The 26,520-nt window shown below is 35.8% G+C and overlaps 1 protein-coding gene and 1 pseudogene across 8 annotated transcripts in view, besides 1 other annotated feature; one reads left to right on the top strand and one right to left on the bottom strand.

Annotated features, from left to right (window-relative positions):
• MUSK (muscle associated receptor tyrosine kinase) overlaps window positions 1-26,520 on the bottom strand; it is a 137,768-nt gene that overhangs the window by 72,042 nt on the left and 39,206 nt on the right. For 4 of the 8 annotated variants that reach the window (XM_005251994.4, XM_005251995.4, XM_017014734.2 and 1 more), the window contains exons 6-7: window positions 5,800-5,829; window positions 142-266 (exon numbers count right to left, since the gene is read on the bottom strand). In XM_005251994.4, coding sequence (XP_005252051.1) covers window positions 142-266; window positions 5,800-5,829 — 155 coding nt within the window. Of the gene's footprint in view, window positions 1-141; window positions 267-5,799; window positions 5,830-6,221; window positions 6,256-26,520 lie in introns of those variants that run through there. The other 4 variants (NM_005592.4, XM_005251996.4, NM_001166281.2 and 1 more) reach the window with 2 other exon arrangements.
• Window positions 5,957-6,476: an enhancer, noted in NCBI's record as "NANOG hESC enhancer chr9:113490321-113490840 (GRCh37/hg19 assembly coordinates)". NCBI's record gives its function as "activates a minimal SCP1, AML or CMV promoter by ChIP-STARR-seq in naive H9 embryonic stem cells {active_cell/tissue: H9 hESC(naive)}" and the evidence as "EXISTENCE:reporter gene assay evidence [ECO:0000049][PMID:30033119]".
• Window positions 6,838-7,068, top strand: RPS21P5 (ribosomal protein S21 pseudogene 5; annotated as a pseudogene).

Below are 26,520 nucleotides of genomic sequence, written 5' to 3'. Positions count from 1 at the left end.
ACAAAGATATTGGGAGGCTTTGAAAAGTGGTGTAGGTGAGACCAATGACAGAGATCTGGGTAACTACAACTATATGGTCTATCCTGAAGTTCACCACCAATGGGTCTTCCCCAGACAAGTCCCCACACACATGACACTCACAGCATTTCCGTTTTCAATCCAGGTGATGGTGGGGACAGGAATGCCTGTTGCTGTACAGTGCAGGGTCACAAAGGAGCCAAAGGTGACATTGTGGGATTCAGGAGCCCGCAGGATCCTGGCAAAAACTGTTAGGAAGACAGAAGTGGTGAGTGACGCTCCTGCAGGAAATGGTCAAGCTAGGGTGGTCTTTTAGAAATGCAAATTAGACCATGTTCCCCTGTGTGCAGTTCTTCAGTGTTTGCTCTGTTTTAAGGATAATACCACATGCCATGGCCGAGCCTCCAAGCCCTTTATGTTATAACCCTATATTTCTCACCACTCAAGGACACACTGAGCTTGTTCTTAACATGGAAACTTGCCCTTGTTCTTCCTCTGCCTAGACCACTCATCCCCCAGATCCTCAAGTAGTAGGTTCCTTGAATCATTCAAGTCTCTGTTTAAGTGACATTTTCTCAGAAAGGTCCTTCTTACTCACACAACATCAAGTGTAATCCTCCCCCCATTCACTTTTCATCAGCCTACATTATTGTCTTTACAGACCTTACAACTATCTGAAATTACCTTATTTATTTTTTACTTGTCTATTATTCCCCTTTCCCATTAGATTGTTTGAAGCCAAAAGCCTTGCCTTTCGTTGACTGCTGTATTGTTTCAGGCAGAGTTCCTGACCAGAGCAAGCACAGGATAGTATTTTATTGAATTAATCAAATAATTACACTTTACACCCTCAACTGTATCATAGTGGGAGGGCAGACAAATTGTGTCAAACTTTTCAGATGATATATTGGGCAAAAAAAAAAAAGGATATTTTAGATAAAGTGTAGGCAGCAGAATGAGTAATTTCTATTCCTTTCTGACCCTGAATCCCCACTGATTAAGTAAGAGGAGGTTATTTTGATGTAGGAAGAAATTTTACCTTTAACTAAACAGTGGGATTGAGGCTCACAATGCATTACAAATTGGAGGGTACTTAGATTCACAGAATCATTAAACTTGGAAGAGACTCCAGAGATTGGCTAGATTCCTGTTCTTATCTTATAGCAGTGAAAACCAAATCTTTGTTAATTTAAGTAAGTTGGTTTCCCAAGGTAACAAGAATGATGAGTGAGAAACCTGGACTCAAGTCTTCTGACTTCAAATTCAGTGTTTGTTTAAACTATTACGGAATCTTTTGGATGGCCTATTATACTGTAAGTATATTTTATGCTCCTACTTTTTGATTTCTAGGACTTAAGCACAGAATATAATATTAGAGTATGAAGCCCCAATTAGCACAATGCTTTGAAACTTAATTCTAGTTAAATTGAAATTTGTGAATATTGGATTCTAAACTAAAGTATGGGAGACCACATGTGCTACATAAGGAGATACGCAGGACAATGATAGAACAGGTCCAGAGTAGTGTTTCCAGTTGGTCTCATTGTTGAGTACCTCTTAAAAAGCATTGCATAATTTAAAGAGATTAAGGAACATTTGATTTGTTTGACTATTGGGGGCTTTTTGCAGATTTAAATTAATTTGACTTCCTATCTTTTGATATTGATATTTTAGATATAGAAATGTGGGTCCCAAAACCAGGAGAAAAGAAATGCAAGGAAGGTGCTGTCTTCAAGGCAAAAAGAGATTATTAAAAAATAACAAAGAATGCTATCAAATGTTTAAAATGAAGCTGAATCTGTCCCCCAGAAGCAAAATTGAGCCTGATTTTAAGTAAGTCCTGGGGTCCAATTAACAATCTACAAAAATTAAAGGGTTGAGGAACATTTCAAAGAACACTATGGAGATGCAATTCAATCAAACCCAGATATTTAACAGGGAAAATCATTAGCATTAGGGGGTAAAAAAGAAAGAGTGATCCATTATAGATTAAAAGAGACTTAAGAGACATATCACCCAAATGCAATGTGTGCCTCTGCTTGGATTCTTATTCTCCCAACTTAATCTAAATTCACACGTTACAGACTCTTGACAACTAACACTGACAGGCATCGTAGTGAGGGTGCGTCCAGGTACTCTTCTAATGTTTTCTGGTTACAATAATGGAGACTTAGAGTCCATGTGCATCATCTGGCTAAAATAACTCTTGTAGGGGTTGGGGCTATGCTTGTGTTTCCTAAATTTTTTGAGTGTGGGACTACTGCATGACCATCTATGGATCCCACTGCCCGAGAATCTGAAACAAGCAGGATCTTTGAGAGATTTGGAAAATCTAGCACATTTCAACCTCACATGTGCTAGAAAACTGTTCTAGTAACATTGACTATACCCTTGAACTTTTTGAATCAAAAACGCCTTTTGAATGAAAGCCTTCTGGCTGAAGATGAGCAGAATAAAAAATTGGAGAATAATGTAATTTCGATTATGTTTTGCTGCTTTAATTTATGAAGCCAAGAGTTTTAATTTGGGGACTTTAAATTCTTCTTGGAAAGGTTTTATTTTGTCCTAATTTATAGCAGTTTTTTTTCTTTTGGCTGTTATTATATTTGGAATATCATTTGGGCTTATTGTGAAACCTCTGATTATCCACATTGCACAACACAACTAAGCATAGTGTGGTATGGTAAATAAAACAGAGTCAATTCAACGTGACTTTGGAATTAATTTAACTAATGTAATACTCTGCCCTCCATGGGAACTTTCTGGGGGCTCCAGTGTGGCACAGGCAGGTACAGGAGTACTGCTGACATTATAGGTAGCTTCATGAATATGAGACTGCTGATAAACTTCTCCCTGAAGGGGGCAGATAGGCTATGGCTGACCATGGGTTTCATTAAGTGCAGTGGATTAGGTTAAGAGGACAATAAGGCCAGGGATTAAAGGGAAGCTGCTTTCTCCTGCACTCTCACATGCTCTCTAAATGATAAAATAGAAACTCAACCCCCTTTTTTCAGTATTGAAAGTTAGTTTCCACCCTTCCTCCCAGTCTTCCTCCCTTCTCAAAGGAGATAGCAGATGTCTTCTGGGTTTCTACTCAAATGTTTCCTTATCATAGTACTTTCTCATCCCCATTCCCCTTACCCTTGTTTATATTGTATCATATCACCACTATCTGAATCATTTGGTAATTACTGATTTATTTGTTTGCTTGTTTGTTTTTTGTCAGTCTCTCCTCTCTAGAATGTAAGCATCACAAGGGCAAGGTTTGCTTTGCTTTTTAACATGAGCTGACTGATACAATCTATATATCTATCTACATATCTGTCTCTATTTCTAGAACCCTGCATGGTATATATATATGGTAGGCACTCAATGAATATTTGCTGAGTGAACGAATAAATAAATGAACGAACATGATGACTTCTCTGGTAAGGTTGGGGGAAGGGACTTGGATATGTTATGTGTATCTCAATCCTATTCTGAGCTATCAGTCTCCCAGCTCTCTTGCATCTAAGAAGGATATAGGGTTGATGTGTGTAAGTAAGTTTACCAGGTCAGGGCTTCTTCATCCTACAACTAAGAGTCAAGGGGAAAGAGTGGGGTGGGGAGGAAGAGGATGAGGAAACATAAGTTATGTTAGTCTAATCCTCACATGGAATAGAAATCTTTATTTTTCATTCCAGCCTTATCAGCAATAAAGCTGATATGTTTTTACCCAACTCTATCTGAGCAATTGCATAATACTCAAATTTACCATTTTTCAAATATGAAAGGTAAAAAGGTGATGAGGGAAATTTTGACATGTTTTTCAAGCATTGTAAACAATAAAGTCAGTTGCAATTAAAAATAAATGCCAGATTAACCTCCATGAATAATAATACACCGGCAATAACAAACTTGGACACAAGTCAACAGTAAATCCCATTATTTCAGTGGTAGTCACAATCTGAAAATGCATTCTAGGTCATCAATTTAAAAAGTTATATGACATGTTTCTTATTAAATAAAATGGGCATAGAATATCCCTATTTTGTGTTTTATCTGCATAAAAGAATATAAAAGTGTTTTTGTTACATAAACAATTAAACCACTTAATAGAAGGAACATTAAATTACTTAGTAAGTTGGAAAGCATTTATAACTGTTTTGATATGGATTTTTAAACAAAAAAATCATCAAACCCCTCTTTCTGTACATAGTCTTATCCATCCTTCTCCAATTCACTGTGAGCCCTAAACCACTTGGTTTCCTGTGGGTAAGCAAGTGCATCTGCAACATGGAAAATAGACCAAGGTAATATATTTAACTCTGGGTTTTCTCTCATGGGATCTATTCATGAGTTTGGGGCTTTAATGTCTCTTGAGCAGACTTGCAGGCTAACTGCAAGTGGAGAATCCTATATTCAAAATTGGGCTCAAGAAGCCAGCAATTCTAAAATCTTTTATAACATACCCACATTATATTCTCTCTCTCTCCTTATTTCAAAGCACTTTCAGATATGTAATCAGTTTTATTATTGATTGTCATCTTAAGGAGTAAGGTATAGTAAAAAGATAAAGGCATAATTCACTCTGAAATTGCACTGGAGTGTAATAAAAAGCCCAAGGGACAGGGCATCCATGTTAAGTCCTGAAATAAATGAGTGGTTTGGCTGGAGATGAACTACCTCTCTTTTCTTGGTAAGGGAGCAGTGCCAGAGGAATACTTAAGTCTCTTATCAATTTCTATTTCTGAGCAGTTATTTCAAAGGACACAAGGAGCTCCCATGGATTTTATTTTCCCTTCCTCTTTTGTTATTTTCTAGCTTCCTTTGAAAAGGGTTTTTAGGTTACATGATTCAAACCAGCAATGACTGATAGGAATAAATTAAGAAAAAAAATTCACATAGGACCAGGTAAAATGCTTTTTTACCTGTATTTAATTGTAAGCAACCTGGTATTTAAAAATAAGAAAACATTATCTGTACTTTATATGAGATACTAAGATAAGGAGGTACTGTTTTAAATAATACCAGTTTGAGATTAATTCCTACAGTCAACTCTATTACATGAGAACTCACAAATTTCATCCCCCAAATATCAAATTTTAGGTTAGAAGAGCACAAAGTTTGGGGCTTAATCAGAATGCAAGGTACCTTTTTTTTTTTTCTTTTTTCTTTTTTTTTTTTTTTTTTACAGAAAACAGAAACTGTTGACAGAAAACTGTTGGGGAAAAAGTAGAATTTTTCCCATACAAATTTAATTTCCAGCTATTTTCCTCTAAACATATTCCACTACAAACATATGTCTCTGTGCAATTAAAATAACTTAATTTTTATTGATTTGGAGCAATTGCATAATACTCCTGATCTTGTTGAAATCATCACAATAAAAACCAAATTGGCACCTTGACATCCTAACATTTATCCAAAGACTGTAAAGCCCCCCAACCCCCACCAAAAGTCTTTTAGTCAAAGGGTATCTTTCTTTTCCAATCTATGTGGGATTTATACTCTCATGCTGATTTATTTCATTTCATTTTGTTTGTATTTCCAGAGACACCAAATTTAAACATTACTTTTAACTCAATCTTGCTTAAGAAATGCAAATGGTCAGTAAGCATATTATATAATAAAGAAGCCTATCTAATAACACCGTTAAGTGCTGTGACTTAATATTCCCCATACATTGTTTGTTATTTCTTTAAAAATGGCACTTAGAGCTGTTTATAAGGTCAACAAAAATAAACAATTGAAAAGAGCTACACAATTAAAAAGAAGCCATGCAGAAAGAAAAAAAAATACCTTTAGTATCTTGTTCGGGTTCACTTTCTTCTGTTAATAAAAACAAGACAAAACAAACACACACAATAAACACGCAAACAAAACAACACATCATGAAAAGGGAAATCTTTGACCACAGAAACATCAGTTGTGCAACAAGATTAATTAGAAGCTGCTTGTTTCTTATTTCAATAAGAAACAAATGCAATCAAGGAAAACTGCAGACCTTTTGAAAGCAAACTGTTAAATGACATAAGATTTCAGAATGATTACTTTTAGCCAGGCAGTATTATACAGAAAATAAACTACAGCATACCTAACAATGTAGCTCTTTCATGAATTTTTATTCTAATGTTGACAGTTACCCTTTCTTTCAAGGCTACAGAGTGCCTACTATTCTCATACATTGCGTTCCCCCCTTGTAGCTTAGAGTCTCCTCTTACCAGGCCCTGCTGTGAAGTCAGTGGTGTTCAATCTGGGATCTCAGCTATCATTTCTATGGCAATAGACTCATGTTGTGGTAAACAGAGGATTAGGGGGTTTCTGCAGAATAGAACCTACCACCAACAGAGATCTGCAACTCTGCACCAACACAGAAGCTGCTTGGAGAGCAGAAAGGAGCAAATCATTACCTTCTGGGAATCTACTAAGGAAGTAAGGTCCACAGGATATTGTAAAATGTTTAGATTGAATAGAAAGAATTGAGAATTTATAAATGTTTAAAAATCCTAGAAGAGAGACAACAAAACCAAATTAATTGTTCCAAAATGTTTAATATAACCATGTCAGACGTAGTCCCCAAGTGGAACTCTAGTTTTCTTTCCTGAAGTTTTATTTGTTCATGTAAATTTGAACCTTTCTTAGAGTTAGTAATATGTCAACTGCAATATTTATTTGTAAGTAAAAAATGGCCATGCTATTGCTAACAACATTCAATGACAATAATACACTTGCATAGTCTTTCACAGATTGTGGATATTTTCATGCACATTTTTTACTCGATCTCATTTGACTCTCCCCATGTCTCTGTAATTGAACATAATTGATATTATCCAGCCTGAGTTTGTGGACCTGAACATGCAGTGGAAATGTTCCGCCAGCAACCGCATCATGGGTGCCAAGGACCATGCATCCATCCAGATGAACTTAGCCAAGGTTGACAAGGTTATAGGCAGGTTTAATGGCCAATTTAAAACCTATAGTGTCTGTAGGACCATTCTCAGAATGGGTGAGTCAGATGACTCCATTCTCTGACTGGTCAAGACCAACAGCATCTCAAAGAACTTCTGATTGGAGAGAATTGTGAGTGTTGAATATTTGTCATAAATAAATAGTGAAACCCTTCACTTCCTCCCCGCCAAAATTAGCCCATTTTCCGGACAAAGGATCTAAGTCTTGGAGATTTGCTGCAGGTGCAGAGCCAGAAATTCAACCCCCTTTTCAGACATTGAGTCTTCCCAATGAGAAGGTCTCATATTTACACTTAACACCCAATCCCCTTACATTTAAGTGAATTTGTGATTCCTCATTTAGATTCTACTGTCTGAACTTTCCCTACCTCCATCAACTCAGTGGTACATTCTTGGTTTTTGTTTATAAGCATCAAGTTCAAAAACTATTTAAAACTTCTGAATTGAATATATTTATCGTTAAAAGGAGATTTAGAGGTCGTCTGTCAAATGTACCTTCAAATGAAGAAATCTTTTTTTTACAATATTCGTAACGGTTCCTGGTAAAGCATAGGTATTGGATAAATATTAGTTTCTTTCATATTTAAAACTGGTCATCTGGACATTAGGAAACTGCAGATTCCCTGTCTGTATCACATACCTCAATCAGGAGAAATGAAAGAAGGTCCATGACTGGGCCAGATTAGACTTGAAAAATTGCATTTGAATGCCTTCGGGCTGGACACATCTTTCTAGAGCCCCAGAACAATGTGTTTGTTTCTAAGTTTGGAAAAACAAACAAACAAAACAAAACAAAACAAAAACTCTCTCCCTCTCTCTCTTTTTCTATTTCCTTTATCAGCCAAGTAACTTAGAGTGGTTGGGATGGCCATGGTGTTTTTATAGGGATATTAAGTGTCTTTATTCTGCAACTGTGGTATCTCCAAAACTTTATTCCACTAAAGTTAAAGAGTATCAGTAAACTTTTTCCATTAGTAAATTTTGAGAATTATATTCACTTGTCATTTTCTTCTCTTAGAGTGTTCTTTGTCAGGGTTCAAGGGCAACTGCAGGTCAATTCTGAGTCTCGTTTCAGTTTCACTCCATGATCTATACAGGACTATACTTGAACTCTACTTTGAGCGTAGGCTCAATTTTAGATAATATTAATTTTCCTTTGAAATTTTTCAGTTTGATGTTATTGTTGCTACTATTGTTCATTTTGCCTTATTTGGGATTGGAAGCAGTGCAAAATTTTGAAAGAATACACCTATTTCATCCACTGTAAGTAAACAGTGGATGAACTCAAGACATGAAAGAATGTCTAAGATTTGTCATTTTCCTGGGAGGAAGCTTAGAAGTTCTACCAGAAATTATAGTTTCAGTTATAGACTATCAAAATTTCTTTCTAATGCAAATATATTATACCTCTTTATAGATACAAATTTATATATGTTTATGCATTAACATACACACATTTACATGCATGCACACACAATTGAGGTTACTTTAAATTAGAGAAAATTATGCAAGAAAAGTCTATAGGCCTATTTAAGCTCAGGTATAGTTATTCGCTGTATGACTTTTTTGGTCATTTCGAGCTCAAACAGTAGTCCTAGTTTTTCCACATATCCTGCTCGCCTAGCCTACTAGGATCACTCTTGACTTCTGAACTTATTGTTTTACCACTTATCATTTTTAAAATATTCTGCTTCATAGTCTTTATTCCCATTTAATTACTAAATTTTTATTTAACTGCTTTATATGTAATGCATTGTTCTTGTCTTCCAAATTGATTTGTAATCTTCTTTAGGGAGGTTAGGGCTAGAATTAAACTGGGATTAGTATCAGACTTTTGTTGCTGCTTTATTTTCCTCTAAAGTCCAGCACAGTCTCTTGTAGAAAGAAGAACACATTTATTGTTAAACAAGTTATTTGCCAGTTGCATTAGTGGGGCATTTTCATCCTATTTTGTTGGAACTGTCCAATAGGGTATTTAGAATAATCAATGACTGCTCTTATTGGACTAATCTGAGATATAATTTATTCACTTCACTTCAACATCCAAGGTAAATAGTAATCCATAATTTTCTTGAAAAGTTTTATTTATGAGAAACTCAGTACCATAGTAGCAATCCATTTTGATCAACTGTGTTGTAAAGGAGAGAGAATATCTGTAAATCAAAATCAAACCAAAACCAATCTCTTTATACTTACTATCTATAAGACCCTTTTCCCACTTCTATCCACCTAACAAGAATGAAACTGTACGTAATATGTAGTCTTTTATCCCTCATCCCCCTTCCACTCTTTTCCCCTGAGTCCCCAAAGTCTAATGTGTCATTCTTATGCCTTTGCATCCTCATTATCTTAGCTCCCACTTATGCATGAAAACATACAATGTTTGGTTTTCCATTCCTGAGTTACTTCACTTAGAATAATGATCTCCAATTCCAACCAGGTTGCTGTGAATGCCATTATTTCAATTAATTTCTAATGCGTTATTTCTGCTATATAGGAAAACTGTTAATATATGTGTACATAAGTGCATTTTATTTGTAAATAGGATTAATTATCATATTAGTTAAAGTAGCTTTGGAGTTGATACTCTTGTGTTTTCTAGATGGATAAAAATATCACTTTTAAACATCAATACTTTTGACCTCTTTCAAACAATAATATAAATTTTTATTTTTATATATTCAGCTGGATAGAATTTATATGATGATATATAATAATTATAGCACAAAGAGTACTACTCAAGTTGGTGTTATGATATTACAATTCAGTCATCTAGGTAGAATATAAGTACATAGCAATAATGAAGATATAATTTTTTGCTACCTAAAAAGACAAAGCCATATTAAAAAACAAGATGAATATCTCAGTGTATAAGAAAGTAGACAAAACACAACAGATAAGTAGTCACTGCTGAGTTCCAATTCTATAAACAGAGAAAGGGGCTTGAAGTTTGATTTCTCTAGAAGTGTACTATATGAGATGGGGGATTGGAGGCTCGCTGCTTGAAACCAAAGCAGTCATAGTATCGTAGTCAGAACATGTGTTATGCTTTTGACGGTTTAGTGACTGGGTCTGGATTGAATGTCAAAACATTACAGAATAGAGTCCTAAAATTGCTCCCTGAAATATCTTATATGAATGAAGGAAGTAGAGGGCAACCCCCAAAATTACTGGAAAAGGAATAAATCATTTCAGAGAGATGATGATAAGATTTACAGTGGCAAATCATAATTTCAAAGCACATTAGGAAAACAATTGCTAAGCAATAATAAATTGACTTTCAACTTAATGAATTCAGTAACTGGGGGATTAATTTACTCTGGAAGAAAACAAAGAAGTTCAAAAGGAGTTTAAGAACCTTAAATAATAGTATATGTATAAAAATAAATTATAAAACAAACAGGCAAAATTGAAATACATATAATAGTAGAAATGCTAGAAATTGATAATAACAAGCAGAGACACAAAAGATATGATAAACTCAAGCTTGGACAAGGTCAAGTGAAGAATTAATGAATCAGAAGATGGCACTTAAGCCATCATACAGCCCTGAGGCCAGAGAGAAAGATGGACAGAAATGTGAAAGATTAACTAAAAGATGGGAAGAACAGATTTAGAGCTCTAATATATGCTTACAGGAGTGTGAGCAGTAGAGAAGAGAAGGAAGAGCAGAGAGGTTATATTTGAAGACATAGTGGTGGAGATTTTCTAGGCTTGAAGCAATACATGAAACCCCAGATCAGTTAAAGTGGTGGCTTTTAAAACTCGAAATTCATTGAATCACTTATGAAGTTTAAGCAAGCAAACAAACAAACAATTAAATGCCAGACACACAATTTAGGTTACTGAATCAAAATTTTTTGCCTGTGTTTTGGGGATGAGTATTTTTCAGAAGTACTTGAAGACTGCCTTTCAAGTGGCACTGGGATTGCATAGGAGGATTAATACAAACAATTTGACATTGTTGTAGTTTTTAAAATTTTTTCATTTCTGAGATTTTGGTGCACCCATCACCTGAGCAGGGTAAACTGTACGTAATATATAGTCTTTTATCCCTCATCCCCCTTCCACTCTTTTCCCCTGAGTCCCCAAAGTCTAATGTGTCGTTCTTATGCCTTTGCATCCTCATTATCTTAGCTCCCACTTATGCATGAAAACATACAATGTTTGGTTTTCCATTCCTGAGTTACTTCACTTAGAATAATGATCTCCAATTCCAACCAGGTTGCTGTGAATGCCATTATTTCATTCCTTTTTATGGATAAGTAGTATTCCATGGTATGTATGTGTGTGTGTGTGTGTGTGTGTGTGTGTATGTATATGTAGTAGTATTCCATGGTGTGTGTGTATATGTATGTATGTGTGTGTATTTATATGTCTCACATTTTCTTTATCCACTGGTTGATTGATGAGCATTTGGGCTGGTTCTATATTTTTGCAATTGCAAATTGTGCTGCTATGAACATGCATGTGCAGGTATCTTTTTTGTATAATCACTTCTTTTCCTCTGGGTACATGCCTAGTAGTGGGATTGCTGGATCAAATGGTAGATCTACTTTTAGTTCTTTAAAGAATCACCACACTGTTTTCCATAGTGGTTGTACTAGTTTACGTTCCCAACAACAATATAAAAGTGTTCCCTTTTCACCACATCCCATGCCAACATCTATTATTTTTTATTATAGCCATTCTTGCAGGAGTAAGGTGATATCACGTTGTGGTTTTGATTTGCATTTCCCTGATAATTAGTGATGTGGAGCATTTTTCCATGCTTGTTGGCCATTTGTATATCTTCTTTTGAGATTGTCTGTTCATGTCCTTAGCCCACTTTTTGATGGGATTTTTTTTTTCTTGCTGTTTCAGTTCTTTGTAGATTCTGAATATTACTCCTTGGTCAGATCCATTATTTGCAAAATTTTCTCCCACTCTGGGGGTTGTCTGTTAACTCTGCTGATTATTTCTTTTGCTGTACAGAAGCTTTTTAGTTTAATTAAGTCCCATGTTTTTTTTTTTCTTCCCATGATGGTGTCTCGCTCTGTTGCCCAGGCTGGAGTGCAGTTGCACTATCTAGGATCACTGCAACCTCCACCTCCCAGTTTCAAGTGATTCCTCTGCCTCAGCCTCCAGGGCAGCTGAGACTACAGGCACGTACCACCACACCCAGCTAATTTTTGTATTTTTAGTAGAGATGGGGTTTCACCATATTGGCCAGGCTGGTCTTCAACTCCTGACCTTAAGTGATCTGCCAGCCTTGGCCTCCCAAAGTGCAGGGATTACAGGCATGAGCCAATGCACCCGGCCAAGTCCCATCTATTTTTCTTTGTTTTTGTTGCATTTGCTTTTAGTTCTTGGTTATGAAGTCTTTGCCTAAGCCAATGTCTAGAAGAGTTTTTCTGATGTTATCTTCTAGAATTTTTATGGTTCCAGGTCTTCAATTTAAGTCCTTGATCTATCTTGAGTTGATTTTTGTAAAAGGTGAGAGGTGAGGATCCAGTTTCATTCTTCTACATGTGGCTTGCCAATTATCCCAGCACCATTTATTGAATAGGGTGTCCTTTCCCCACTTTATACTTTTGTTTGCTTTGTCAAAGATCGGTTAACTGTAAGTATTTGGCTTCATTTCTGGGTTCACAATTCAGTTCCACTGATCTCTGTGCCCATTTTTATACCAGTACCATGCTGTTTTGGTGTCTGTGGCGTTGTAGTATGGTTTGAAGTTGGGTAAGGTAATGCATCCAGATTTGTTCTTTTTGCTTAGTCTTGCTTTGGCCATGTGGGCTCTTTTTAGGTTCCATATGAATTTTAGGATTGCTTTTTCTAGTTCTGTAAAGAGTAATCGTGGTATTTCCATGGGAATTGCATTGAATTATAGATTGCTTTAGGCAGTATGGTCATTTTCACAATATTGATTCTACCTATCTATGAGCACGGGATGTGTTTCCATTTCTTTGTGCCATCTATGATTTCTTTCAGCAGTATTTTGTAGTTTTCCTTGTAGAGGTCTTTCACCTCCTTGGTTAGATATATTCTTAAGTATTTTATTTTATTTTTGTAGCTATTGTAAAAGCAGTTGAGTTCTTGATTTGATTTTCAGCTTGGTCACTGTTGCTGTATAGGAGAACTACTGATTTGTGTACATTAATTTTGTATCCTGAAACTTTGCTGAATTCATCTACCAGTTCTAAGAGTTTTTTGGATGAGTCTTTAGGGTTTTCTAGGTATAAGATTATATCATCAGCAAACAGTGACATTCTGACTTCCTCTTTACTGATTTGGATGCCCTTTATTTCTTTCTCTTGTCTGATTGCTCTGGCTAGGACTTCCAGTACTATGTTGAATAGAAGTGGTGAAAGTGGGCATCCTTGTCTTGTTTCAGTTCTCAGGGGTAACACTTTCAGCTTTTCCCCATTCAGTATAACGTTGGCTGTGGGTTTGTCATAGATGGCTTTTATTACCTTAAGGTATGTCTTTTCTATGCTGATTTTGCTGAGGGTTTTAATCATAATGGGATGCTTAATTTTGTCAAATGCTTTTTCTGTGTCTACTGAGATGATCGTGATTTTTGTTTTTGATTCTGTTTATGTGGTGTATCACATTTATTGAGTTACATATGTTAAACCATCCCTGCATCCCTGGTATGAAACCCACTTGATCATGGTAGATTATATTTTTGGTATGTTGTTGGATTCAGTTCACTAGTACTTTGTTGAGAATTTTTGCATCTGTGTTCATCAGGTGTATTGGTCTGTAGTTTTCTTTTTTGGTTATGCTCTTTCCTGGTTTAGTATTAGGGTGATACTGCCTTCATAGAATAATTTAGGGAGGATTCCCTCTTTGTCTATCTTGTGGAATAGTGTCAATAGGATTGGTACCAATTCTTCTTTGAATGTCTGATACAATTCAGCTATGAATCTGTCTGGTCCTGGACTGCTTTTTCTTGGCAATTTTAAAATTACCATTTCAATCTTTCTGCTTGTTATTGGTCTGCTCAGAGTTTCTACATCTTCCTGGTTTAATCTAGGAGGGTTGTATACTTCCAGGAGTTTATCCATCTCCTCTAGGTTTTCTAGTTTATGTCCATAAAGGTGTTCATATTAGCCTTGAATAATGTTTCATATTTCTGTGATATCAGTTGTAATACCTTCCATTTCATTTCTAATAAAGCTTATTTGAATTTTCTGTCTTCTTTTCTTGGTTAATCTAGCTAATGGTCTATCGATTTTATTTATCTTTTCAAAGAACCAGCTTTTTGTTTCATTTATCTTTTGTATTTTTTTCCATTTCAATTTCATTTAGTTCTGCTCTCATCTTTTATATTTCTTTTCTTCTTCTGCATTTGTGTTTAGATTGTTCTTGTTTCACCAATTGCATGGAGAATTGGAGGTGTGGCCTTGGATTGTCTATATGTGCTTTTTCAGATAATGCTATGAATTTTCCTCTTAGTACCGTTTTTGCTGTATCCCAGAGGTTTTGATAGGTTGTCTCACTATTTGTTACTATTATCGTTCAGTCCAAATAATTTTTAAATTTCCATCTTGACTTCATTGTTGACCCAACAATCATTCAGGAGCAGGTCATTTAATTTCCATGTATTTTCATGGTTTTGAGGGTTCCTTTTGGAGTTGATTTCCAGTTTTATTTCACTGTGGTGTGAGAGAATATTTGATATAATTTCTATTTTCTCAAATTCACTGAGACTTGTTTTGTGGCCTATCATATGGTCTGTCTTGGAGAATGTTCCATGTGCTGATGATTACAATGTATATTCTGCATTTGTTGGGTAGAATGTTCTGTAAATATCTGTTAGGTCCATTTGTTGTAGGGTATAGTTTAATTCCATTGTTTATTTGTTGACTTTCTGTCCTGATGATCTGTCTAGTGCTATCAGTGTAGTATTAAAGTCCCTCACTGTTAGTGTGTTGCCATCTATCTTATTTTTAAGGTCTAGTAATAATTGTTTTATAAATTTGGGAGCTCCAGTGTTAAGGTGTATATATATTTAGGATTGTGATATTTTCCTGTTGAACTAGTGTTTTTATCATTATATAATCTCCCTCTTTGTCTTTCTTAACTGCTATTGCTCTATAGTTTGTTTTGTCTGATATAAGAATAGCGACTCCTGCTCGCTTTTGGTGTCTGTTTGTATGGAATATGTTTTTCTACCCCTTTACCTTAAGTTTATGTTAGTCCTTATGTGTTAGGTGAGTCTCTTGAAGACAGTAGAAACTTGGTTGGTGAAATTCTTATCCATTCTGCTATTCTGTATCTTTTAAGTGGAGCACTTAGGCCATTTACATTCCACGTTAGTATTGAGATGAGAGGTACTATTCTATTCATTGTGCTATTTGTTGCCTGAATACCTTGTTGTTGTTGTTGTTGTTGTTTTCATTGTGTTACTGTTATATAGGTCCTGTGAGATGTAAACTTTAAAGAGGTTCTATTTTGGTGTATTTCCAGAATCTGTTTCAAGATTTAGAGTTCATTTGAGATTGTAGTGCTGGCTTTGTGGTGGCTAATTCAGCATTTGTCTGGAAAGACTGTATCTTTCCTTCATTTATGAAGCTTAGTTTTACTGGATACAAAATTCTTGGCTGATAATTGCTTTGTTTTAGGAGGCTAAAAATAGGACCCCAATTTCTTCTAGCTTGTAGGGTTTCTGCTGAGAAATCTGCTGTTACTCTGATAGATTTTCCTTTATAAGATGCCTGATGCTTTTGCCTCACAGCTCTCAAGATTCTTTTCTTTGTCTTGATTCTAGATAACCTGATAACTATGTGTCTAGGCAATGATTTTTTTGCAATGAATTTCCCAGGTGTTCTTTGAGCTTCTTGTATTCGGATGTCTAGATCTCTAGCGAGGCCAGGGAAGTTTTCCTTGATTATTTCCTCAAATATGTTTTCCAGACTTTTAGATTTATCTTCTTTCTCTTCTTCCTTCCAACTATTCTTAGGTTTTGACTTTTAACATAGTCCTAAACTTCTTGGAGGCTTTGTCCATTTTTAAAAATTATTTTTTCTTTGTCTTTGATGGATTTGGTTAGTTCAAGCCTTGTCTTCAAGCTCTGAAGTTCTTTCTTCTGCTTGTGTGATTCTGTTACTGAGACTTTCTGGTGCATTTTGCATTGACACTATTGTAGTTTTAAAACCTGTCCACAAATTCTCCCTTGGAAAAGTAGAGTATAGTTCCTCTGCTCTCCTTGGAAGTAGGCTGGACTTAGACTCACTTCTAACAAATAGGATGTGGCAGAAGTGACTGTGTGTGGCTTTTGAAGCTAGACCATGAAAAACATTACTAACTCCTCCTTGTTCTCTATTAGATCATCTACTCTTAGGGAAGGAAGGCACCATAGTGTGGGGACACTCAAGCAGCCTGAGGAGAGACCCACATGGGGACAAAGGGAGGCTCTGCACTGGCCAGCATCAATTTATACCAACTTATGAGTCAACCACATTTGAATTAGATCCTTCAGCCCATTCAAGCTTTCAGATGACTGCAGAAGTGGCCAACATCTTTACTGCAAACATAATCCATACATTGGCCTGGGAAAGTCACTCTGTACTTCCTGAGTTATAGAAACTATGAAGTGATAATCGTTTATTGTTTTAAAACATTGAGTTTCTGTGTAATTCGTTACAGAGAAACAGATAACTAATACAGATTCTATGACAAATTATGGTAAAAGTACTGGTAATCAAAGGTAAAAAGACCAGATAGAAGAACTCTGTTACCTACCAAAGAATTATAGTTACAATGACAGAACACTTCTCATCAATTGATGTAAGAAGACATAGGACAACACTGAGGGAAAATATCTGTCAACTTAGATTTCAATGTTCACCTGAATGATCAGGGTAAAATAGTGGCATTTTCAAACATACAAAGACAAAGACAAAGATATCTGCTCACAGATCTAATTGAATGAACTAATGAATAATATGTTTCAGAAATAAGAAATTGGAAACAGAAGAAAAAAGGCACATGAAAATTGAATGATGAACACAGCAATTGGTGGCATATATTGATAGAACTATTTATGGACCATAAAATAATTCAGTGTTTTAAGATAAATAAAATTTTGGATAATGCCAAGGAAAGTGACAGAGGATGAGGGAAGGTGCTGTTAGATAAGATTTTAAAGAATGATAAGATGCTTGCTTTAGTTAAAGAGACTGGAGAAGATCCTACATGATCTTAAACTGTTAGAATTATAGCATCATATATGTATATTAAAATGTAAAAGTAATCACTGAAATATAACATTGTGATCCACAATTTCAAAATCAGCAAAGTGGTTGTGGTGTGGGTTAAAGTGGAGAATTAAAAAAATATATAATGATCTACCAGAAAACAGAAAAGGAATTAAAAAAAGAAGCAGAGAAAAGAAACAGCATAATACATGATAGAAATCGTCTAAAGAATAATAGAAATAAATTTTCAGAATAAATACAAAGACCTACACTTATCTACTAAAAATAAAGTCTTTTGGATTGAATTACAAAAGTATTTATCTATATTCTGCTTACAAGATTGTGGGGAGGTTGGAAGAAAGGGATAGAAGAATACCAAACAAAGAGCACAGGAAAACACAAAACAAAGGAAAAATGTGGTAATGATATTAATATCAAACAATACAGAATTATGCTAAAAGGTATTATAAAAAAGGGATGAAGAGGAACATCATCCAAAGGTTAAAAATGCAATCTGCAGAGGAGGAATTACAACAATAATTAATGTGTATGCACTTAACAATATAATTTCAAAACATATAAAGCCTAAACTTATAGAATTAAGAGAAGATATAAGAAAAGCTGCTAAGGCAAAACTAAAATTCTCCAAATTAAAGCCTATTGAGAGTTTATCGTGAATGTCCCCTGTGAAGGAGAAGGCCAATTTTAAATTATGAGGGCAGCATTCAAAAGGAAGGTCATTTTTTTCAAATATCAAGAAAGGACAAACATAACAGTTGCCTATGATTCCAAATGCAGTTTGGTATTCTGGTACAATATTAATTTATTGAAATAGAAAATTAAAATATAATGTTTATAAATGCTACAGAGTATTTCTCAAAATGGAAAATTATAAATGCTTCTCAGTTTAAGTTATCCTTGCCTCTAAATTTACTTCTCAAATATTAATTTCCTGAGCTTTCTATTACTTTGTGAGAATTTATTTGGTGACAGCATTAATGTTTAAGATGATTTGTGAAAATTTTAGAAAATAAGAAGTGTGTATCAAAAAGAGATGTAAAAATTATTCCAATTATATAAACCACTCTGTTTTTTGCCTTTTAAAAAAGTAGACTGTTTTCTGAAGATCACTTTATTAGGTTAGTGCAAAAAAAGTAATTGCAGTTTTTGCCATTATTTCTTTTGCACCAAGCTAATATTTTCTTTTTTCTTTTTTTTCCCCCAACTTCTATTTTAAGTTCAGGGGTACAAGTGCAGGATGTGCAGGTTTGTTACATAGGTAAACGTGTGCCACGGTGGTTTGCTGCACAGATCAGCCCATCACTTAGGTAATAAGCCTAGCATCCGTTAGCTACTCTTCCTGAAGCTCTCCTTCCTCCCACTCCCAGCCTCCAACAGGCCCCAGTGTGTATTGTTCCCCCCATGTGTCCATGTGTTCTCATCGTTCAGCTCCCACTTATAAGTGACAACATGTGGTGTTTGGTTTTGTGTTCCTGTGTTAGTTTGCTGAGGATAATGGCTTCCAGCTCCATCTATGTCCCTTCAAAGGGCATGATCTCTTTCCTTTTTATGGCTGCATAGTATTCCATGGCATATATGTACCACATTTTCTTTATCCAGTCTATCATTGATGGGCTTTTAGGTTGGTTCCAAGTCTTTGCTATTGTGAATAGTGCTGCAATTTAATGAAATGGCACTATGAAAATAAAATAATATTTGTTCCTAGATTATTTTATTTTCATAGTGCCATTTCATTAAGTTGTTTATCATTTTCCTTATAGTCAATATCTTGAGAAAATCTCTGACCATTTGGTAAATAAGAACACCATTGCAGGGCTTTTTCAAAGGACAAACTCAGAGGTTGGGAAGTCAAAATCTTAGTAGTAGGATACTTTCCTTACACTCATGTACAATACCCTAACAGCAATCCAGGTGGTAGAATTGGATCCTCACTTCACTCTCACTAGCTGTTTTTTCTGAGTTGCTGTTCAACTTCTCTGAACTTCAGGTTTTTTATCCAGAAAACGTAGTTATTAACTTTCAACTCATAGAATTGTGGAGAAGATTAAATGACATGATTTATATAAAGCAATTAATTAATATAGCAGCTAACTCATAACTGGGAAGTACTAGAGGTAAATTTTGAAGCCAGGTCTTCTAGTTCTTTTTCTTTCTCCAGAGCTTTTTTGATCTCTAGGATATCTTTCTGAGTCATGAAAGCTGTTCCTTTAGCGGACTTCAAAGGGAGAAGGCTTTATTTTATTTTGTAACGTCAATCTGCTTTAGCTGGCTGTATCCTAGATATTGATCATGTTAAGTACCCTTTTCCGGTGTTAAAAAGCATATCCTTAACTCCTTTCATAAACTGAATTATTTGAGACAGAGAAATCACTCTGTAGAGAGAGAAATTCTTTCGACCCTGTTATTAAAACATAGATGCTCATCTATACAGATTATTTGAATCTGCTCTTAAATAGACTATTTGTCTCATCTAGCATCATATTTTAAGAATAACTGAGTTGGAGATGCCTGTTAGAAGGCAAGGACTACAAAGAACAAAATGGGTTAAATTGTTTTTATATTTGACTTAAAAAACACGTGGCCCTGGGTGGTTGAAAAAGTAATCCTATTGAGGCTCTGTGATACTTTGTTTCTGAACAGATACTTCTTTTCTCAAACCCTTATCATTAAAAGAAAACCTAGCAATAATGACAAACCTAAATAAATACCTGGTTTCTCTTTCCTGACTCTTGGTAGCTAAAGCAAAGAAACCCGATCCTGGTGTACTGCCACTGTTTACGTTTCTGTCTGCTTTGAAGCAGGGCAATGCCTGAAGAGGTTTACCCACTGTGGCTCCAACTCTGAAGGAGTCAGAAGGCAAGCTCCTTTAGAAAACATACACATCATCCTCAAATACAGTGACTCTCTTCTCCAGGACAAAATAAGGGCTGCCTGCCTCAATGATGTGGGATTCCCTCCCATGGCTTGGGTTGGGAACATTTCTGTGGCCTTTGAGATGGTAACGTTTTTCTCACTTGTAAATATGGATGGTGAATAGTGGGTACGAGCAAGAAATGTTTACCATGTAAATCAGACAAGAGCTACACAAAGTTTACTTGTTTTTGTTTCAGTCTTAGGTGTATATAAAGCAACCGCACTTTTGTTAAACTGGTTCTGAAAATATATTAGAAGTTTAATCATCAGCCAATAAAATATGTGACTTCATTCCTGATTCACTTTTTTCTTCTTAAAGAAAGTTCATTTTCTGTTTTTGATGGGAGGAGATGCTAAACTGCTTAATTACCAGGACAAAGAAGTATTTCTTAGTTTACCTTTTTAAAACATTTTTATTTTGAAATAATTTTAGATTTACATAAGAGTTGCAAAGATAGTATAGAAGGTTTCCATGTACTGTTCACCCAACTTCCCCTAATGTTAGCATCCTGTATAACCATGGTACGTTTATCAAAATCTTAGTTTACTTTTAAATAACTTTTTTGATCTAAGCTCTGGAAGATGCCTGCACTCTGACATGCGTTAAACGAGCTGAGGTCTATTAAGAATAAGATTTTTGTTTTAGCCAACCGGAAATTTTAGTTGGAAAAATAAATAGAAGCCATAAACTTAATCTTAAATCATACCACAGTATCCCAGTTGCCTAAAGTGGCTTGGGTTGGGAACATTTCTGTAACCTTTTAGATGGAATTCTGGATGCCAGATAAGGCCATATGCCTCCAAACCATAGGTTCCCACATTGTCAGGATGTTAGGTATCTACCCGTTTAAAATTATGTCTAAGAGAGGGCTAGGCATGGTGGCTCACACCTGTAATCCTAGCACTTTGGAAGACTGAGGCAGGTGGATCACTTGAGGCCAGGAGCTTGAGAGCAGACTGGCCAACATGGTGAAGCCCCATCTCCACTAAAAATACAAGAATTAGCTGGGCATGGTGGCACATGCCTGTAATCCTAGCTACTCAGGAGGCTGAAGCATAAGAATCGCTTGAACCTGGGAGGCGGAGGTTGCAGTGAGCAGAGATTGCACCACTGCACTTCAGCCTGAATGACAGAGAGAGACTCTGTCTCAAAAAAAAAAAAAAAGAAAAAAAGGTCCAAGAGAAGATACCAAGAAGATGATCTCCATGTTAGCCTGTGAGTCAAATCATGGTTTATTCTGTTTTTATAGCACCACTAATAGATACTGTCCCAAACTCTCTAATCCTTCTTTTACTCCCTGGTTATGAGTCAGTGTCAGGCTGTGCTTGCATGGTAAATCTGAATTTTTTCCTCTATTTTCTTTTTCCTCCCTCAATGTGATATGATCCTCACCAAGAGCTCCTCACTCTTCATCAATCAAAGCCCTGTTGGCCTTCACCTCTCTGAAGATTTCCCTGACCTTTCCCTATCTCCTCTGTCCTGTGTATATAACCCTACACAAACTTCTATCATTGTAAATATATTGCATTTTACTTGTTTGCATATCCATCTTCCTCACTGAATTTGAACACTTTTCAAGAAATGAACCACATCTCTCTTTCGTCTGTATCCTTAAGAATTACCTCATTGCATAGAACATAGTAGGCATTCCACAAATGGATGAATTTGAAGCTATCCTAACATTGATATCTTACTATTTGCAGATAAGCTTTCTCCTTGAATTGTTTAGATTCATCTGGAATAAAGTCCCTCTAAGTAGAAAACCTGAAGTCAGTGTTTTTCAAAGTGTGGTTCATGGGTCACTGCATTAAGGATCCTTTGGGGTGTTGTTAAAAAGCACTAACATAAACCTATCAAATATGAATAACTGGGGAATGCATCCTGAAGCTGTGTCATTTAGTAAGATCTCCAGATGCTTCTGATGTGCACTGGCATTTGAGAACCACTTGGAGGAGAAGTTCCATGAATCCGTCAACTTAGTTATTTCTTTCTCTTTCCATAGAGATCTTAAGGAAGGTATATTGATATGGCCATAAATTAAATGAATAACAATATATTAGGATCAGGGAGAAAACCTCTGGATGGTTTGGTGTAACAGATACTATGACTAAGCTTCAAATTGGATTCTAAGATACATGCCAGGCCGAGCAAAAAATAAAGTAAAAGAAAATAAAGTACACAGTACTTACTATAGGAATGGATAAAATGTCAGTTTCTCAGCAGAGACCCTTCTCCCCAACCCAGGCACTGATTTTTTTTTTTTTTTTCAGAATAAACATGAGTTAAAGGTTTTATTTAACTCATTCACAAGGAAACCAGTGAAGTGTTGCAACCAGGTGAAAAGAGAATCCCAAGGACAGACCCATTTATAGATCAGGAATATTAAAATGACTGTGCAAACAGAGCCAGATTGGGTTTTTTGGTTGCTTTTCCACTGGACAGAATTCATTTGCAAGTCTATGGAGGAGAACGATTTAGCATTGCTGCCAGTTATCTACAATTTATAAAGCTTTAAAACAGCTCCCACAGAATTGGAATCACACAACACAGGTGTGCTCTAGAATGACAACACACAATTTTCCATTTAAGCACAAATTGTTCCTTATAGTCTCCCCACTTTTGATTAAAAAGAATCTCAAAGATTCTTGACGACAAAGTGAGTATGGCCTTATTAGATTTAGCCTGGTTCTTTACACAGGTGCATCAACAATGTTAACCATATGGGCATCAAGAACGTTAACCATATGGGCCTTCTTTAAGTTTGTTCCACTGGAGGTCTCTATAAGAAATCTCAGCTTGGTCTTCTGCAAGCTTCTATTAATTTGCTGTGCTGAGGCTAAGGATGTAAGTCCAAGGAAATTTCTCCATAAGATTTCGTCTGCAGTATCTATTCATTTTGGCCTAATTCCTTTCTCCTTCAAATTTTCAAAACATCTCAAGGATCTTGGCCTGCCATGAAAGTGACCTCCCTTACAACCTGCAAGGCTGGACCTTGTATAAATCCAGGTCAGTTTTCCTCAGAGACCTTTGCCAGCATTGGCTCCATCAAGTCAACCTTAGTTCACTAAAAGGGACAGATCATGTGCAGGCTATGGCTTCCCCAGGCTGGCAGGAAGCTCCTCTGCAGCCATTGTTCACAGAGCTTCAGCCAGGCACTAAATTTTTTTTATTATTATTATACTTTAAGTTCTAGGGTACCTGTGCACAACGTGCAGGTTTGTTACATATGTATACATGTGCCATGTTGGTGTGCTGCACCCATTAACTCATCATTTACATTAGGTATATCTCCTAATGCTATCTATCCCTCCCCTCTCCCCCGACCCCACAACAGGCTCCGGTGTGTGATGTCCCCCTTCCTGTGTCCAAGTGTTCTCATTGTTCAATTCCCACCTATGAGTGAGAACATGCGGTGTTTGGTTTTTTGTCCTTGCAATAGTTTGCTGAGAATGATGGTTTCCAGCTTCATCTATGTCCCTACAAAGGACATGAACTCATCATTTTTTATGGCACTAAATTTTTAAAGTGATTTCTCACTTGGGATTTACTTGGGAGCAGTGAGTGCTAGAATGGATCAGTATTTTCAACAAGATTTTTGGCAAATATCTATTTCTATAGTGAATAAAATATGATATAAGCTCAGGATACACACGAAGGCCGCCTTCACTTTTATGTTGTTGTACTATTTTTTTTTTTAACAGGTTGACTCCAAATAGCCTCTCTCCTGTTAGCCATTAAAGGCACCTCTTTACACAGCTTCTTAGATAAGCTTCCCTTTATCACTTGTCACGGTGAAGCCACACCAAAGTTATAATCTCTAACAAGTAACAAGAATGCAGGTACAAAGCATTGCTGATTGAAAGTAGATTTATGTTCTTTGGAGACCAGATGAGCAGTTGTTAATGTTGACATTCTATTTATGAAATTCAAGAAGCTTGACTAGTGGTATTCTCTGGATAGATGTCATCCAGCTTTATAACAATGTAAACAACAGACAACAATACCAACAACAGCAAATACTTATCAAAGAGCTACTGCATAGACACTGTGAATATGCTATCTGAGTCCATTTTAAGAACTCTGTGTTCTAGATAATATTACCCCCCATTTCACAAATGAGGAAATAGACTTGCAGAGGTCAAGTAAATTATCCTACCTCACATAACTGGTAAGCAGCACAGTCAGGATTAACACCCAGGTCTGTCTGATACTAAAGCATGTGAACTCTGCAGAGTATTATCTACACAACATAAATATTAAAAAGAGGAAAGAATCGGAATAGGTAGTGGAACATGTCCTAGACTAGGAATAAGACACTCAAGTTCCTTTGCCAACCTGGGCAAAGTCACAATTTGTTTGGTCTCAAGTGTCTTTATCTATAAAATAAAAGATGTTTCCGGTCTCAAATTTATTTTTTTTAAATATTTTTAAATAAATACTTTTTTTAGAGAGGGGGGTCTCACTATGTTTCCCAGGCTGGCCTCGAACTCCTGGCCTCAAGCAATCCTCCTGCCTCAGCCTCCCAAAGGGCTGGGATTACAGGCGTGAGCCACTGCCCCTAGTCTCAAATTTCTTTATCTACAAACTAAGGAATTGAACTATATGACTTTGGGGTCTCCTTGCAGATTTAAAGTTGGTTATTATTCTTTTGCTAGAACCAAAATTAATACAAATAAACTATTAAAAATAAAAATTTAGTTTTTGCCATTGGACTTTATTGCTTGTACCTCAGAGATAAAGATGACACATGGAAAAGGGAGCTATAATTGTCTGCACAAGTGCGTAAATCACTGCTTCTGTTGCACAGAAGTTATATTAGCCCTAGAACTAACATTGATAATTTCTATTTGAGTGTTTACTCTGTGTCAGTCACTCTTGTAAGAGCTATAAATATATCATCTACTTCTACATTCTTCAATTTATGAAGTAGATAGTATTATTAACCTAATTTTACAAGTAGGGAAACTGAAGCACAAAGAGATAAGTAACCTACTGGAAGTTACACATGTGATAGGTGGTAGAACCAGGATTTGGACTCAAGAAGTTTACCTGAGACTCTAGAGCCCATGCAGTTTTCTTGAGATCCTACCACCCATGTTATTAACCACTATATTAAGTCCTCTCCAAAAATAATGCCTTGTATAGTTTGTTGTTCACGGAAATAAATATAACAATTACAGTCTCAGAGTCATGTATTTGATATCTGAAGAAAATAACTGAATATAAAATTACTTGAACTCCTTCTTGCCATAGAATTCTAATAGCTTTCCATGATATCTTTGCATGAATCAAAATAGTCACATTTTGAAATTAAGCCCAGTGGAGGCATGGCCTTCTCTGTCTCATGTCGCACCTGGAACATTGCTCAGTGTGTCTTTGTTGGATGAACTAATGCATTGAATAGAAAGCAATTTTCCTTTACTGTGTATGTATGCTTGAACTTATGCATCTCATTTTAATATCTGAAAACTGATATTAAAAACTCACTCCAATTAGAGTATATGTATTTCAGGTCACGATAACTTTTCATTTCAAATAATATAATGTCAACATTATACTAAACAATTTAATTACTTTAAAGTACATTTTCTTTAACACTGCACTTTAAGAGGGCCTAACTATGTGTTGACTTGAAGCATTATGTATTATCTATTCAGTGCTATCATTATTATACAAGTGACTTTTTCTTAGAGAAATGCAGTGACAACTGTTCAACTAAAGGACCACTTTACCATTCTTCTCTGAAAGCCTTATAGAACTTTTTAGATGAAACCATACCATAATATACCATAATATCCCCTAAAGTCAAAATCAATGGGTCAAGCTCCTCTTTTAGAACATGCATCCTATTAAATCATGCAGATTTAATTTTCCCAATGATAGCCTCCAGGGATATCAGAGGTTTGTGATTTTTTTCTTTGTTTGGTTTTCAAATGCACAATGTACTCATGACAGCAAATCAAACCTGTTAGTGGCATCAAACAATTAGGACTGATGCCGGGAACAGGACCACTGCAAATTTTATTAAAACTGCAATCACTGAGAGCACAGCACACGGTGGGGTTTTAAATACCTCTCTCTGTGGCATTTGTGATATTAAGAGCTGCAGCATAAACAAAGGAAAAAGCAAATCAAATGTGGTATAAACATTACATGATTGCTTCCACTTTTGTAGATGCAACAAGTAAATTTGATCTCTAGGAAAGAAGGCAGCCAGAAGTCTAAAATTTTGAAGACAATGCTGATCTTTTATAGTTATGTCTATTGACATCTGCTTCTGTGACATGATAGATAGATAGATAGATAGATAGATAGATAGATAGATAGATAGATAGGAATTATTTATTTTCATCTTTTGGAATTCTACTTGTCTTACCTATTTCATATGTCTGCAAAAATATCTTCAGATAAAAAGTTTCTGAATAGATTT

This window comes from Homo sapiens, chromosome 9 (assembly GCF_000001405.40).
Source record: "Homo sapiens chromosome 9, GRCh38.p14 Primary Assembly".
Classification (NCBI taxonomy): domain Eukaryota; kingdom Metazoa; phylum Chordata; class Mammalia; order Primates; family Hominidae; genus Homo; species Homo sapiens.
Note: the sequence above shows the minus strand (reverse complement) of the source record. Positions and strands in the feature narration are given on the sequence as shown.